The sequence below is a fragment of the Homo sapiens genome, chromosome 18 (genome assembly GCF_000001405.40).
Source record: "Homo sapiens chromosome 18, GRCh38.p14 Primary Assembly".
NCBI classification, from domain to species: Eukaryota; Metazoa; Chordata; class Mammalia; order Primates; family Hominidae; genus Homo; species Homo sapiens.
Genome location: NC_000018.10, coordinates 70,070,764 through 70,086,604, shown reverse-complemented (window position 1 = coordinate 70,086,604; position 15,841 = coordinate 70,070,764). Strand labels below are relative to the sequence as shown.

At 33.7% G+C, this 15,841-nt stretch overlaps 1 protein-coding gene across 18 annotated transcripts in view, besides 1 other annotated feature; it reads left to right on the top strand.

The window, feature by feature from the left end:
* RTTN (rotatin) overlaps positions 1–15,841 on the top strand; it is a 202,657-nt gene that overhangs the window by 119,083 nt on the left and 67,733 nt on the right. For 16 of the 18 annotated variants that reach the window (XR_430072.4, NM_001318520.2, XM_047437468.1 and 13 more), the window contains 2 exons: positions 11,064–11,253; positions 12,611–12,699. Coding sequence is in view for 16 of the 18 variants with exons in the window: in NM_001318520.2 (NP_001305449.1) it covers positions 11,064–11,253; positions 12,611–12,699 (279 nt within the window). In the remaining 2 variants the exon portion in view is untranslated. Of the gene's footprint in view, positions 1–7,866; positions 7,997–11,063; positions 11,254–12,610; positions 12,700–15,841 lie in introns of those variants that run through there. The other 2 variants (XR_007066140.1, XM_047437469.1) reach the window with 2 other exon arrangements.
* Positions 13,658–13,952: a silencer, noted in NCBI's record as "tiled region #7597; HepG2 Repressive non-DNase unmatched - State 13:Ctcf". NCBI's record gives its function as "represses a minimal TATA promoter and a strong SV40 promoter by Sharpr-MPRA in HepG2 cells {active_cell/tissue: HepG2}" and the evidence as "EXISTENCE:reporter gene assay evidence [ECO:0000049][PMID:27701403]".

Sequence of the window (15,841 nt, the reverse complement as noted above, 5' to 3'; positions counted from 1 at the left end):
TTTTAAACAATTATCAACCTAGTAGATGTTTCAAATTAATTGGTGATAAATTTTCAGTATAAGTAGTATATTTCATTATTGATGAAACTATATACAAGACAGCAAGGGCCTCTTAAAATAGAACGTAGAATTTGTTCTTATGCCGACCAGACTTAAAAATTCTTCTCTATAGTGTTCACAATAATTTAAAGCAAATAATAATAGTTAACATATGTTTACTATGTTTTAGGCACCCTTCTAGAAATGTAAGACATAGTAACTTGTATAATTGTTTGAGTTGTGAACTGTTACTATCCTTATTTTCTAAGCTTAGGAACTTTTGCATAGAGAGTTTAAATAGTTTGTCCTAAATCACACAGCTAGTCAGTGGTACGCCTTTGCTTTGAGTCTAGGCAGTCTCTTACCCACTTTGCTGTATTACTTCTCTAATTTAGTAATAATAAACAAATTTGTAGATAGTTAAATATGTGTTGATGTTAACATCTTTTTTTCCTTTTCTAGGTTAGTGCACAGTGCGGGTTATAGTGTATCTTGCTTTGTTTTCTGTTGGGTTAACTTTCTTTTTCATGTTCTGAATATCACATCAGTAAATGGTTACCTAACATTTTTATAGCTTACATTAAAAAAATTCTAGCTTCATGGGATATATGTACATGTTTGTTACATAAGTATATTGCGTAATGGTGGTGGGGATTGGGGTTCTCGTGTACTCATTACCCAAATATTGAACATTGTACCCAGTTAGGTAATTTATAACCTCAGCCGCCTCCCCCACTCCCTCCTTGGGAGTCTCAGTGTCTGTTATGTCTGTCTTTATGTCCATGTGTATTCATTGGTTAGCTCCCACTTATACGTGAGAACACGCAATATTTGATTTTCTATTTTTGAGTTAGTTCACTTAGATAATGGCCTCCACCTCCATCCATGTTGCTGCAGTTTTAGGTAATTTGGAAGATACAAAAGTACACTTATTGGGGATATAAGATGTGCTGTTTCTGTCCTTTTACCTATCCATATATTTTCACCTTATAGGGATATATTTATCATATTGCTACACCTCACTCCTCAAAATCCTGTATAAATCTAAGGTTTATTTTTAAGTTTTAATTAGACTATACTCTTAGAGGAGTTAGTGAAACAAGCTGAACCGTAGCAAGGGCAAGTTTCCGCACATGACCCGAAGCATGAATCCAGGTGGTTGTCAAGGCCCAGGTAGCATTTAACTCTTGGAAGGCTTACCTCTCCAAACTTTACAAACCCAGGGTAACCCTACCAGTCATTGTAAATCCCAGGCTTGTAATTTGCTCGTAATTTCTTTAACATTGCCTTCTGATAATGGCTGCTTATCTACTTTCCATGTTGTAATAAAACCAGGAGACAAAACTGGAGGGAATATGCAGGATTAATAGTTATATTAATAGTGTAGTAGTTTTGGTACCTGTTATCCGGAGACTACATTTTAAAACATGTTGTTTTTGGCTCAAATACAAATAATCTCTACTCCCATTGTTAAACTAGTGACCCATGTACATGGATATACTTGGTGATGTACTACCAATGAATTTTTAATTATTGAAATAAGTATAAAGGCAGAGTATATTAAAGTTCCTGGGACATTATGTTGTAATACAGAACCGTATGTAGCTGTTCATATTTTTCTCTTAGAAATTAAATAGTAAAGTTCCTGTTTGTTGCTGGTGGCATGCTTACTGCAGTTTATTGGTTTTGTTATTCTCCAGTCTTCATCATGGAAATCCTTTTCTACTAAAAAGTGGAAAATAGTGATTTAAGTTAGCTTTTGGAGTTTTGGCCTTGCTAAGTTGGCCAAAATAAAAAAAGTTGGAGAGCCACTGCTGTCCCAAACAATAGTTGATTACAACTTTTGCTAGTCTTAGGAAAAATTAGATAAATAAGGACAATCTTGTATGCTTTTTAATAAACTCAGATTTTCTTCCTCTCTTTTCAGTCTTTTTTTTTTTTTGGTTATTTTTGTTTGTGTAAGTGTCCTTCCTTGGCAGTGAAAATAGTTAACTCAGTATATCTGTCATCCAATTTTAAGAAAGTTTAGTGGGGTCTGAAATTCCAAAGTAGAAACAGCTTCTGCAAGAAGGAAACAAGATGGTTGTCTCTGGGTGCAGCTAGTGGGGCACATGGTCCTTTGCAACCATGAAAAAGGGGCCACATAGCCAGTATTTTAAAATTCAAACAGTCTTTGGTAGAATTATGAATAATAATCTTATTCAACAAAATGTTTCATTTACTTATTTTAGTGTCCCTTTCATAGTGTTGTGGAGGATATAGCATGAAACAGCATGTTTAGGAGCTTTGTTAAAATTTTATTTTGGTTGAGGTAAATATTTGATTTTTTTTTTTTAACAAAGAGAATTGCTTCTATTGCTTTGCACTTTGTTTTCCTGCCTGCAGTCTAAATTAATGCCCGCTAGTGCTCTTGTTTCATAGGCTTTCTGAAGCATTCTCTTTATAATTACTACTCCTTTTCCTCTCCTTCCTCTGCACAGTAGCATAAATTCCTACTTCATGTCATGACATAGAATTGTTGTACTTGTGAATAGTAATAATATGCATATATGAATTATGAATAATATTATAGCTGAGTTTCCCTTTTATTGTTAGATGCCAGAAAGTAGAGCCCTTTTATCAATTGTGACTTTTTCTGTATGTACTTAAAAAAAAAAAAAGATGGGGTCTCACTGTGTTGTCCAGGCTGGCCTTGAGTTCCTGGGCTCAAGTGATACGCTTGCCTCAGCCTCCTGAGTAGCTGGGACCCCAGGCACATGCTGCCACACCCAGCTTACCTTCTAAGCTTTATTCATGGTTGCACTTTTTCCATATCTCTGGCTTTTTTCTTTCTTTTATTCCTGATATGCATTTACTATCATGTTACAATTTACCTTTCCTTGTAATGGGCCTTAAATCTTTTCTCGGACAAGATAGGAAGTAAATAATTTAAAACAATTTATTTTTTTAAAGTATTAAATAATTTTACCAACCACTGCAATTCCCATTTTAATCTTCCTTTTAAAGACACTAACATTTAATGTCTTACCACTAAATTAGGTTATTTTCCATATTTGCATTATTTCTTACCATTTAACTTAATCTTCCTGTGTAGAATGTTTGTTTCTGACAGGACTACATTTTTTATATTTTAAAAAATGTTTCTCCCAACCCCTACCACAGAGAAAGTAAGTGCTCCATCTGTCTTGACTGATTCATTAAAATGTGCAAAACATTTGAGTTATCCTTTTGGTCTTAATATCATAAGTAAATACAGTTAGAAATAAAGCCTTAATTTTCATAGCATAAGTCCCCTTTTATTTTTCTGTGGATGCAGAAGCATACTGGAAGTGGGGTGGTCACCAAGAGGAGGAGCAGATGAAGTATCTCGGCCTGTCTTCCCTTGACATCTAGCACTCCTACCAGGGGCCTTGATACCAGGCCCCTGCTGGATATGAGAACCCAGTTCCTGCTGTGTCAGTCTTTGGTGTGTCACAGCTCTTTTATATTCAGGACACTAACTTTTCAGAGGGATATTTACAAACATTGGTCTTGTTCTTGAGTCAAACTCAGCCTCATTCAAAGCTACATCCCAGCTGGGTGTGGTGGCTCATGCCTGTAATCCCAACACTTGGGGAGGCTGAGGTGAGAGGATCACTTGAGCCCAGGAGTTTGAGACTAGCCTGGGCAACATAGTGAGACCCCATCTCTAAAAAAAATTTTAAAAATTGGCCTGGAATGGTGGCATGCACCTGTAGTCCCTAGCTACTCAGGAGACTGAGGCAGGAGGATTGCTTGAGCCCAGGAGTTTGAGGCCACAGTAAGCTATGATTGTGTCACTGTGCTGCAGCCTGGGTGACAGAACAAAACCCTGTCTCTAAAAACAAAAACCCTGCATACTACATTCTCTGCCAAGAAGAGAAAACAGAGCCAATATTCAGTTGACACGAAACTGTATTGTGGCTCCCAACTGTCCAGTGTTTTTCAGACCAGTTTCCCACAGTCTGACTAGGAGTTAAGACTCCTGAATGTGGATGGTTTCATAACTGGGTTTAGTTTGAAGACTAGTGTCAGAAATCCGTATCCCTGAAACTTTAACAACCAATTTTAGAGTTGATTATAACAAGAAATCTATTGATTAGAGATGGATTATTGATGTAATTTTCTCAGTTCATTTCTGTAAACATTTGTTGAGTGTCTAAATATTGGAGATTCACAGATAATCCAATTTAGTATTCTTGGGCTTATGGCCTACAGGGGATGACATGTACCCAGGAAACATTGTTATAATCATGTTATGTATGATGATGGTAGCTTATGCATAATTTTAATAATATTTCAGTTCTTTCCACTTGAAAATGATCTCACATTTAAATGTAAAGGGTAATTTCATGCACTTAAATAACATAATGGGTTGTCAGTTTGTGATTTAAATAAACTTGTTCATGCTCTAGTTGCTTTCCATGTTTGTGACAGGACTTTGAATTGGTACACAGACTTTTTAAACTTTATTTTGAAAAAACTTAGATTTATAGGAAATTTGTAGAAACAATACAATTTTTATGTACTCTTCACCCAGATTCCCCAAATGTTATTTTACACATTTACTTCAGCTCTGTCTAGTGTCTTCTTTCTAAACTATTGGAGAGTTGTAGACATAATGCTTCTTTTCCTCTGAACACTTAAGTGTGGATTTCCTAAAAATAAGGATATCCTCTTACATAATCACAATAATAATTATCATAATTAGGAGATTACTCAAGGATTTTCAGTTGTCCCACTGCTGTTTTTAATAGAAAAAAAAGAAAAAAAAATCCAATCCTGGATCCAAGATCCAGCTCAGGAATACACATTGCATATACTTGTCTTACATATTTGCTTTCGTTCATCTGAAATAGTTTCAAAATTTTAAATATTTATGATCTTAACATTTTTGAAGAATGCAGGCTACTTATTTGTTGTAATATACTTCAATTAGATTTGTCCTTTTCCCCAGGTTTAGATTTGAGTTACGCATTTTTGGCAGAAAAACCATAGAAGTGATGGGTTCTCAGTGCAACATGTCAAGAGATATTATATCTCTCTTTCCCATTGTTGGTGATACTAACTTTGATTACTTAGTAAAGATAGAATCTGCCTGTTTTGTCCTTTGTAAAGTTACAGTTTTTTCTTTTGGAAGGAGGTGCTCTGAGACTGTAAATATCTGTTTCTCATCAAACTTTCTTTCACTAGTTTTTTGTTTTGTTTTGTTTTACTTTTTTTTCCCCCATAGGTTATTGGGGAACAGGTGGTGTTTGATTACATGAGTAAGTTCTTTAGTGGTGATTTGTGAGATTTTGGTGTACCCATCACCTCAGCAGTATACACTGCACACAGTTTGTATCTTTTATCCCTCACCCCTTCCCACCCTTTTCCCTCAAGTCCCCAAAGTCCGTTGTGTCATTCTTAAGCCCTTGCATCCTCATAGCATAGCTCCCGCTTATGAGTGAGAACATTTGATGTTTGGTTTTCCATTCCTGACTTACTTCACTTAGAATAATAGTCTCCAATCTCATCCAGATCACTGCGAATACCATTAATTCATTCCTTTTTATGGCTGAGTAGTATTCCATAGTGTGTGTGTGTGTGTGTGTGTGTGTGTGTGTGTGTGTGTGTGTGATACCACACACACCAGTTTATCCACTCATTGGTGGATGGGCATTTGAATTGGTTCTACATTTTTGCAATTGCAAATTGTGCTGCTATAAACATGTGTGTGCAAGTATCTTTTTTGTATAATGACTTCTTTTCCTCTGGGTAGATACCCAGTAGTGGGATTGCTGAATCCCACTGGTAGTTCTACTTTTAGTTCTTTAAGAAATCTCCACACTGTTTTCCTAGTTTTAAATTCCATTCATGATTCTTACCTGAAACAGTTATTACAGAATTGTTGCCAAATGATTTCCTAACTCCATCATTTCTTTCTATGTTTATTACATGCTACTGTAAGGAAGAACTTTTCATTCTTCCTTGCTTATTTAGTGATTCACTTATTTACACCAGCATGGATTGAAGATTCTTAAGTTTGTTTAATGGGCTATAATCTGTTTCTATCATTATTTGTTTCAATGTTCAAATCATTCTTGCTTTGGCCAGGGGAAATTTCTTCATAATGGTTCTTGTGTCTTTATCAATATTTGAGCCATTTCCTTACTTCTGGTACAGCAAAGTGTTCTAGACTGTCCAGCTCCATCCTGGAATCAGATATTTGCTCCAAGGGCTCTGATTTCTTTTCATGGAGAATGGTATTTAGAAACCAAGATCTGCGTTCTAGATGTATTCATTGTTCCTGGGGTGTCATTGCTTCTATGTCCTGTGAGTGAACAAAGCTAGTAATTGTCTGTGTATATGTTTTAAATAGTCAGCTCATTTATAGTTATATATTATTTTGATATTTGATATGATTAATATGTATTATTTTTATCTTTTGTTTGTTATGAAGCATCATGAGTATTTCCAGAAGACAATGAGTACTTGGTAAACTGATATCATTGTAATGATATTCATATTTTACATGTAGTTTTGGATTTCTAATGTATTTAGGGTCATTTTTACAGTCTTTGGATTATAGCATTTTTGTTATATATGACAATAATTCATTTTTCTCCTTGAAAATATTATATCTTCTTAAATGTTATTCTTACTTTGCTTCTAGTACCTTTTCAATTATAGCTAATGGGTATATTAGCACTGACACTAGGAGTATAATATGCATTTTAAAATTAGTATTCTGATTTATTGCATTCTTGATAAAGATGTTTTCAAATTAATTGGAGCTTGATATGACATAATTAATTTGCAGTTTTCTTTGTAAATGTATTTGTAATGGCATTCTGGTGATTTGAAGAGCTTTCTTACTTTCCTTCTCAGCTCTCTCTGGCAATTCAGCAGACGATCTGGCAGCCCCAGAACTCACCTGAGGGCAAGGCTAGTCATGATACAGAAGTCTTGAGACAGAGCAATTAGACCTGATTGCTCTAATTTCCCCACTATGCTAGAAGATAACCCCATCAATTACTGATGGATGTATGGAGCAGAGCCTAGTGTGTGCATGAAAGACTTCATTGTTCTGGCCCTTGAACCATTAGTTATCTGTGAAAGCCTGAGCCTGGCCATCCTTTGTGCATATCCTGGGCTTGGCTCCATTATAAAGCTCTCTTAATAAGTGTAGAGAATGGGGATTCAGGCTTAATGCTTAGTTAAATAAAAAATAAAATAATTTTTATGTAATATGTGCCTATTTCAGATTACTCGGTTTTCTTTTGAGCAGTTCAAGAATATTTTGAATGCACTAATTGAACTTTTTAGAAGAAATTTTTTTTTCAAGTAATAAATACATATGGTTAAAAAAAAGCTAATAGAGCTTATAGTGAAATTCACTGTCCCTCTCCATTCACTGAGACAGTTTTACCTCTGATTTTAATTCTTCAGGGAGTTACCACTGTATATCTAAATAGCATGTTTGCAATAATATATTTATTCATACACTACTTTAGTACCTAAGGATTTAGCTCATGTACACAATTTCCTGCAGATACCACAGTATCTCATAGTACCATAGTGGTATTACTGCTCTTATTTCTCCACTGGTCACACTTGCTCTTCCTGGTTTTGTCACCCATGCATCATATCTTTTGACCCCAACCCATTTTGAGATGAGTAAGACATGGCTGAGATTGTACCTGTCCTTTCTTCAGTCTTTCCTCTGCCGTTTCTAATACCCATCTTTAATAGTTTTATTTTTACTTTTTGCTTTGTGAGCGTTGATTATGTTTACATTCTCATCTGCAGTCTCAATTTTATCTGTAGGTTGCTTCTAAAAGTTGAAAACCGTAACTCACTACAGAGACACTTAGTGGGCTGTGATTACACTTTCTTATCTCGGCTTCCAGGACCAACTCATCTAATACTCAGAGGAAAAGTTTTCTGGTATTTGTATGTATGTATACATGTATATGTGTGTGTGTATATATGTATATATAAAAATATAATTTAAAAATTGATTTGGGTGATTTATTTTCCCTTGAGGTTCCTGTTTGTTTTTTCTTACATTGTGGGTCCATATCATGTCTCATGTCTAAAGTTTTTCTAAGCTCTTAATCATCCTTTCTCTTCTGTTAGAATTTCTTTTCCTAGTCATAATTCTCAAAATGATTGTAGTGGTAACTAGTGACAAGTGCATGAGAGATAAATATCACAAGTTCTTGCATATTTGAAAATGTCTTTAAATTGCACTGGATTGATAGTGTGGTTAGTTACCATATGTTTGGTGAAGATTGTTCCTCCCAAGAATTTTGCTTCACTGTATTCTAGCATCCAGTGCTACTGATGAGAAGTTGAATTTTCATCTGACTCTTTTTACTTCTTTATGGCTGATGTTTTCTTTCATTATCATCTCTTTGTCCTCAATGTTTAGAATTTTTTTATTATGTACCTTTTTTCCATTTTTCTTGCTTGACATTTATTAAGCTCCTTAATTTGAAGATTTGGATCTTCTATATATTTTTTTGGCTCTGACAAATCTTTTCATATTTATTTCTTTTAAGATGAATTTCCTTTTTTTGTGTGTTATATTTTATCTTTCCAGAAATTGTAAGTCCCTTATTAGGCCTCTTGAATTTATTTTCTCTGATTTCCTTTTGTATTTCTATATCTTAAACCTTTTTGCACTATTTTCTATGATATTAAATTTTTTGTTCATAAGCTAAATTAGCTTCTTCAATCTTGGTAGGCTAAATAATTTTTACCATGATTTATAAACAGAGGAAAAATAGAACAGATTCTAAACTTTATTTGATAGATTTAGTTATAAATTTGTGTCTCTTATTATGACTTTCTTACCTATATTTTCTAAGTCTGTGTTTATATTAATAGGAACTAGAAAAGAATTTTTAATTTATTGAAGGGAAAATGTGATTAAACTAGGTTCTTTATCACTGTGACAATTTTACATATTTAGAGAATAATTGCAAGAGTTCTAATACCATATTTACATGTGTAACTTCTCACTTCTAAAATACTTAAAAACTAAAGAAATGTTAGATTTTAGAAGACAGTGGGTTTGTAACTCTTGTCTTCCTAACAGTTGGTATGGCCATCAGCCTCAGTAGGCCTTGAACAGAATAAAGAATCAGCAGATTTAAGATCTCTCAAAGAGCTGTAGATGTCATTTTTTTCTGTTTTTAAGATTTATACAGTTTACATTCTCTTCTCTATTTTCATTAAAGGTTTGTGAATTTTGGGTTGTGGTAACTGATAGAGGAAGCATTCATGTAGACATAATTTTGCAAAAATATGAAAAATTGCATAATTTTATATAATCTGTATGGCAAAATATTTTTAAGTGGTTCTTTGTATCATTATAAAATATATTTTGAAAACTAGTTTTTGTACAACTTTGATTAATCACTTTTGATTTATTGAATTTTTTAGATGGAGTGAAGCTAGTAAACCCTCTACAATTCTTGTCTTATTTGTTAATTCCTTCCCTATATTATTATAATGAGGACTCTAATTTGTGATGTTAAGCAGTTTATTGCAAATCTCTTGGGTGTTTGGCGTGTTTTGTACGTTTAAGTATGTTATAACTTGCTTAAAAGATAGAATTTCTTGAAGCTGTGAATGTTAAGATTGACTGTGATTTTGGGTGAATACTTCATTCTATATAATAAAATAAGGTAATGTATTAAAGGGCGCCAGTACCTGTAACATATACCTTGGTTAATAAACAGGAGCCACATAACCCCATTCACTTTGTATTACTCTCTATTTTACCTGATTCTTCTAGACCTCTGCATTTAAAATAACGACAGTGACCACCATGTGCTGGCTGTTCATTACAGTAGTCTTATTTCTTATATAAATTGCTCTGTTTAGGACGAGTAAGCTCACAGTGTTGGTAGATTTATTACAACACAGCAGTAACAACTTCATAGTCATAAAAGACATTGAATATTGAAGAGGTTTAATTATAATGATGTATATAAATGTCCTTAAAAAGAAGTGTTAATAGAAATAACCTTGTTAGTGTAATCGTGCCTTTAACTTGTGAATTCCTTTGTCTTCCTGAAGAGTAAGTTAAAATATCCATCTTCTTTTGGTGATGGGGAGGGTGAGAGAACAGACACACATACAAATCTTATGGTTAAAGGTCAACTTGCAATATGTTTTGAACGTATCTTTCCTGTTGGCTCTTAGATTTCTGTTTGCTATCTTTTATTTTTCTCTCTCTTATGGCCTGTTTTGAAATCTTAACTTTATTATCATTTCCCAGAAAATAGAAATATTTATAAACTAATGGTAGGATTATTTGCAAACTTCAAACCAATCCTCATTGCTTGCTTTTTGCTATTAGATACTCCAGGAAAAGTAGTAAGTCACAATGCAAAAAATTGTTTGGGAAAAATGCAAAGAGAAAAATTGTGTAATAGCAGATTCTTTTCAGCCTCCTGGTGGCAGTTCATGTGTGTGTATGTATACATGTGTGTGTTTTTTTTCCTTGTCAGGATTAATTCAGTGGGAAGTAATGTGACAGATTTTGCCATATGGATATTGATGGACCTTTTCATTTTACCTGGCTTAGTGATAGGTATAAAAAATAATTCTGAACATAATATATGGACCACCTTATTTCATATATTTTAACACCTATTATTTTACTATTATATGTAGGTTGAAAAATACTGCTTTTATTGTGTTTTTGGTGCAAGTATATGATTTCTTGGTTAAAGCTGATCATTCCATAGAAACATTTTAAATGAAATGGCCCCTCAAGAGAAAGATCAGCTTTGTCCCTTCACGGGGGTGTTTAGGCAGCAAAGACCTAGAGTATTATGGAATAATTTGTCCTAGGTCAGGCTGCTATAACTGTGTAAGGACAAAAGCAGAGTGGAAGGAGATGGGAGCATCTGGGACCCATTTGTTTCCTCGAGAGGAGACAATGGATCTTTTTAAGGAAATTGTTGGATAAATCAGTGTCTCCTCCTTCTTTCCCTCTCTTCCTACAGGGTCCCTGTGTTCATGATGAGGACTCTGGCCTATCGCTCATTGGAAAACCTGCCCTTCAGGCTCTTTTATATCACTGCCATTTTTATGAACATTTGAATCAGATGGTAAAGCATTGTTACCTAGGACGGTGTATGTTTGATTTGAATTTTTCTGCTTTTGATAGAAATTCAGAAAGCAATGATTTAAATGGTAAGTACGATATCTTTGTATTTTTATTTTTGTAATATGTAACTTGTAAAAACTGTTAAAAATACATATATTTGTTTTAAAAATTTGAAAAATGAAAGTATACAGGGAAAACATTCATTTCCAGTTCTACCACCCAGAGAGATGTATTTTCTTCCCGTCTTCTTTCTCTGTATAGCCTTTGTTTGTTTTATGTAATTATGTTCATATCTTGTGTACATTTTTGTATTTCCTTCTTTCACTAAATATTCTGCAAGCATTTTTCTATGTTATAAATTCTTCATGGAAATTATTTTTGACATCTTATTAATACTTTATAAGTTATGCCCATCAGTACAGTTTTATAGTTTCTTTCTCTGTTAACGTCTCAAACTTTTTTGGAACTTTCACTTCTAGGCAATGTACAGTTTTTTTATCCTTCTTGTGAATGAGACTTTTTCCCACTATATTTTCTAATTCATTTTGCTCATGTATCAAAAAGTTATTTATTTTAGTATGTTACTTATTTGTCACAATATTTTCCTGAAACCTTTTTATTCCTTTTGTTTGTAGGTTCTTGTAGATTTGCTAAGTATAAGATCTGAGCACATAAAAATAATTATATCTTGTAATAAATAGTAATTTAATAATATAAATAGCTTTTATTTTTAAATTCATTTTTATAATAATTTTTTAGAATCTTGCCATAGTTTCAAACTTACAGAAAAGCTTCAGGAATAGTACAAAAGAATTCTCAAATGTTAACATTTTACAGTATTTACATCTTGCCACATGTGTGTGTATGTGTGTATAAATAAACGGATATGTATGATCTATATATACTCTTTTTGAGCCATTTAAGAGTAAGTTGAAGACATGAAGTTCCTTTATCCCCGAATTATTAAGTGTGAATGTGTGATTCACTTTTCTGTTTACTTCTTGGAAGAATCAAGAAAATGAGATTTGATGAAGTTTTGAACATTTTAAATATCCCTCTTAGAAAAGTGACTCACTTAATTGTTTAGATTTCTCTGGATCAGTTACTTAGAGCATGGCCCTTAAACTAACAGCATTGGCATCTTCTGTGAACTTGTTAGAAGTGAACACTCAGGGCTTCCACTCTGACCTGGGGTATTGGAGCCTCTGGGGCTGGGGCTGAAGCAGCTGCTTTAGCAAGCTCTCAGTGATTCTTATGCACATTAAAAAAAAACTCTCCTTAGATTTTTTTTTTTTTAAATAGTGGTCTATCTCAGAAGCCAGATCCATATAAGTTTTTTCCTTTCTTTAGTTTTGAATTGGTTTCCTGTAATGCGTACCCTTTTAATTAATTGTTACAGTTCCTAGGAGGGTGTCCATGTTAACAATTTTCTCGTTGTTGCAGGTTTAGATGACTCATTCAAGTTTTGGAGGGCTCCATCTAGGACAAGTCAGGATCGAGATCCAAGTTCTCTCTCCACCTCAGAAACAACGGTACTTGCAAAGAATGCATAAGTCCTTTATTTTGAATCTCTGAAAAAATTTGAGTTTGCCTAGTGGGAGAGTTAAGAATACAAAGTGTAAGGTTATAACAGCTATGATTTATTCGAAGTGCTTTCTGCAGAATTTTGCTAAATTATTGTATTCAAGCTGCACATCAGTCATACATTATAGATACTTATCTTGCTTTTCTGTGTGCGCAAGCCACTCTGAAGTAAAGTAACTTTGTGATCATTAGTGCTATAGGTAGCAGAACTGGAGTTTGAACCAGGGTGTGTCTTGCTACGGTATAGCTACACTGAATATCCCTTTAGTTGAGAATTTTCAACCTCTCTTTCCTACCTTTTTTGATAGTACGAAAGTGTGAAAATATGTTTTTCGTTAGTATTAGAAGAGAACAAATCCTACATGTTAAAAATGGTTGATTACCCTGAAATTGTGCTTAAGGGCAGGGCAATATGAAGAACATTCAAATGATTCTAGTGTGGTGCTGACAGCTTTAAACACACTTCTAAATACTTGCATCACATAGAAGTTTATCTGGAATACCTGAAATTTATATATGCCTGTTTGCATGCCTTCTTTCCTTCCCCTTTCATTCATGCATTAGTTGCTTTTTTTGCAGAAAAGTTTGAAACACTGAGTATTTATAAGGAATGATTGATACTAGGTTTCAGTTATTTACAAACATACAGAATCATTTATTCTCAACTGGGAAATGTTACTTTTAATTTTAAAGTGTTTTTGAAATAATTAGTGTATTATACAACATATCAGGAAGGGAAAGATTTGATACACCTGTTTCCAGGAACAAAAATAATATGAGAATAATAATTATACAGACATTATAATGTAAAGATTATGTTTAATCTATCTCCTAGTTTCTCAAAAGACTGATACTTTTTGCTACAGTTTTAAGTCTTTTTTTCCCTAGATTCAAGAGAAGTATTTGTGTTTAGTGCTACATTGGACCTTTGTATGGAAAAGTAAGATAATTACCCGAGTTCCACTAGATGTCATGCTTTCCTTTCCAAGGTGGAGATAGTGTGTACCTTTGTCTCAACAAGAGCAGTAATATGATAAATGCCAAACTGAATTGTCTTAATTGGTTATTTAGTTCACAGAAGGACAGCATGAAAGTGTGCTTAAAAGTAAATTTTGTTTGTTAGCCTATTTGTCAAAAGGGCTATAGACTAGCCTTGAAATCTTTGTACATATTTCAGTTTTTTTGCTTTTAGTAGGTACTCAGTAAATAATAATTGCTCTAATTAACTTTGAGTTATCTTAGCTATTTTGTGGTGAGCACTGAAGTCATATTTATCCTATACAAGAAAACCTAAATACAAAAAGCAAAAGCATATCAACCTTTTGAATTTCTCTATTTTGTAATAACATTTAATCTTACAGGTTAGAATACTAGATTTTCTGAGAAAATTTGGAAATATGTTATTAATTGTAGTCATTATTAAAGAAAGAAGCACCCCAATTAAAGTGAAGGTCTTTAACTTGTTTGTGTTTGAATGTAACACAGACTTTTAGAAATATATACCAATGGAATCTTTTCAGTTTTTTTAAAAGAATTTTGTAATATGTGTAAAATTTATTTCTTATTATTTTCTCTAAAGGCTAGTGTATTCTGTTAGAATTTTTACAGAATTTACTTTTTACTTTCTTTTTCGGGAGGTTTCCAAACAACTTTTAGAATGGGTGACTTTTAGTTACAAAAATAGTCTTCGTACCCTAATTCTACTAGTTATATTTTCTTTACCATACCCAAGATGATGTGTATCTTTGTCCCAACAGGAGAAAAATCTGGAGAGTGTTTTCATTCTGCCAGTGTTACTTTAAACCAAAGCTGTCAGTACTTCGACCAAGGCATACTTTCTTATGTATAAAAAAATGTTGAAGTTACAAATTGAGGTATAAGTTGAGTGGATGTAAATCTTATTAATCAGCTTATCTGCTTATTTATATCTTTGTTTTGTTTATCTCAGAATTGAGAAAAAATGCAATCCTTTATTGGTTAGTTGGCTGGTTTTTCCATTTTATCTTTCCAAGGAAAGCATCATCTTTTGATTTGGGTCATGTCATCCAGCATGCTCTCCTGGGTTACTATCCATTTTGTGCTGTTAATGCCAAGTTAGGGACTTTCATGCTGTTACCTAATGTGTATTAGTTCCGTTGTTTGGCAAGCTTCGTAAGGATTGTTGGGTCCTGTATGTTTGATAAACTGCAGATAGAGTAAGCAGAGTGTCATTGTTAGCTTTGGGGCATCGCCCTTGTAAATGCTTCCTCAGGAGTGGCCTCTATCGAACTCAATATTCTCCTCCTCTGGGGTAGGAGGATGCAGCCATTAGGTGGTGTTTTTCTTCTCGAAATCACGTTTATATCCAAGATGGATAGCTGTTTGTGCCTCTTACACACCTGTGTGCAGCAACAGCTTTATGACCAAAATTTGGTCTCTTCTGTTGTTCCTGAGCAGAACTATGTCTGTATTTTTTTAAATTTATCAATTGTCAAAATAAAATATGTGGGAAATATAATTCCTTTCTTTTTGAGCCTTTCTTTGTGAAATATGTGATCTTTCAAACTTTTTTCTGGAACACAGATTTAAAGAAAACTGATTTTAGTTTTTCTAAACATTTAAAGAGAATTTTTACACTTCATAGTCTTAAAACAACTGAAAAGCATTGTTACTATTTTGCAAAAGAGGAAATTAGGGCATGGAGTGAGGTCCCACTCCATGGAGTGCATGCTTGTTCAAGTTCCTAGCATGGTAACTGGTAGACCATTCTTTTGAGTCCAGAAGTATGTTTGCTTCCTCCTTCACTCTAAGGCCAGATGTGATTGATCCCATAAAAGATGGTGTAGTCAAGGGACAGTGAGGTTTCTTTAGAGGGAAAGATGAAATGAAAAGTGGTTTTGTGTAGGAAGTGGCCACTGAAATGGGCTTTACAATATTATCCCCTTCTCTTTTATATGCATACAAACATTTGCAAGGGACTGAAAAGATTCAAATATTCCTTAGGATTCAGTGACCACTTAACAAATGACAAAAGTCTACTTGAGAACATAAAGCATACTTAGACTTTCTAACTAAATATGAAGTTGTGTTGTACTGAAGGCATTAACATTC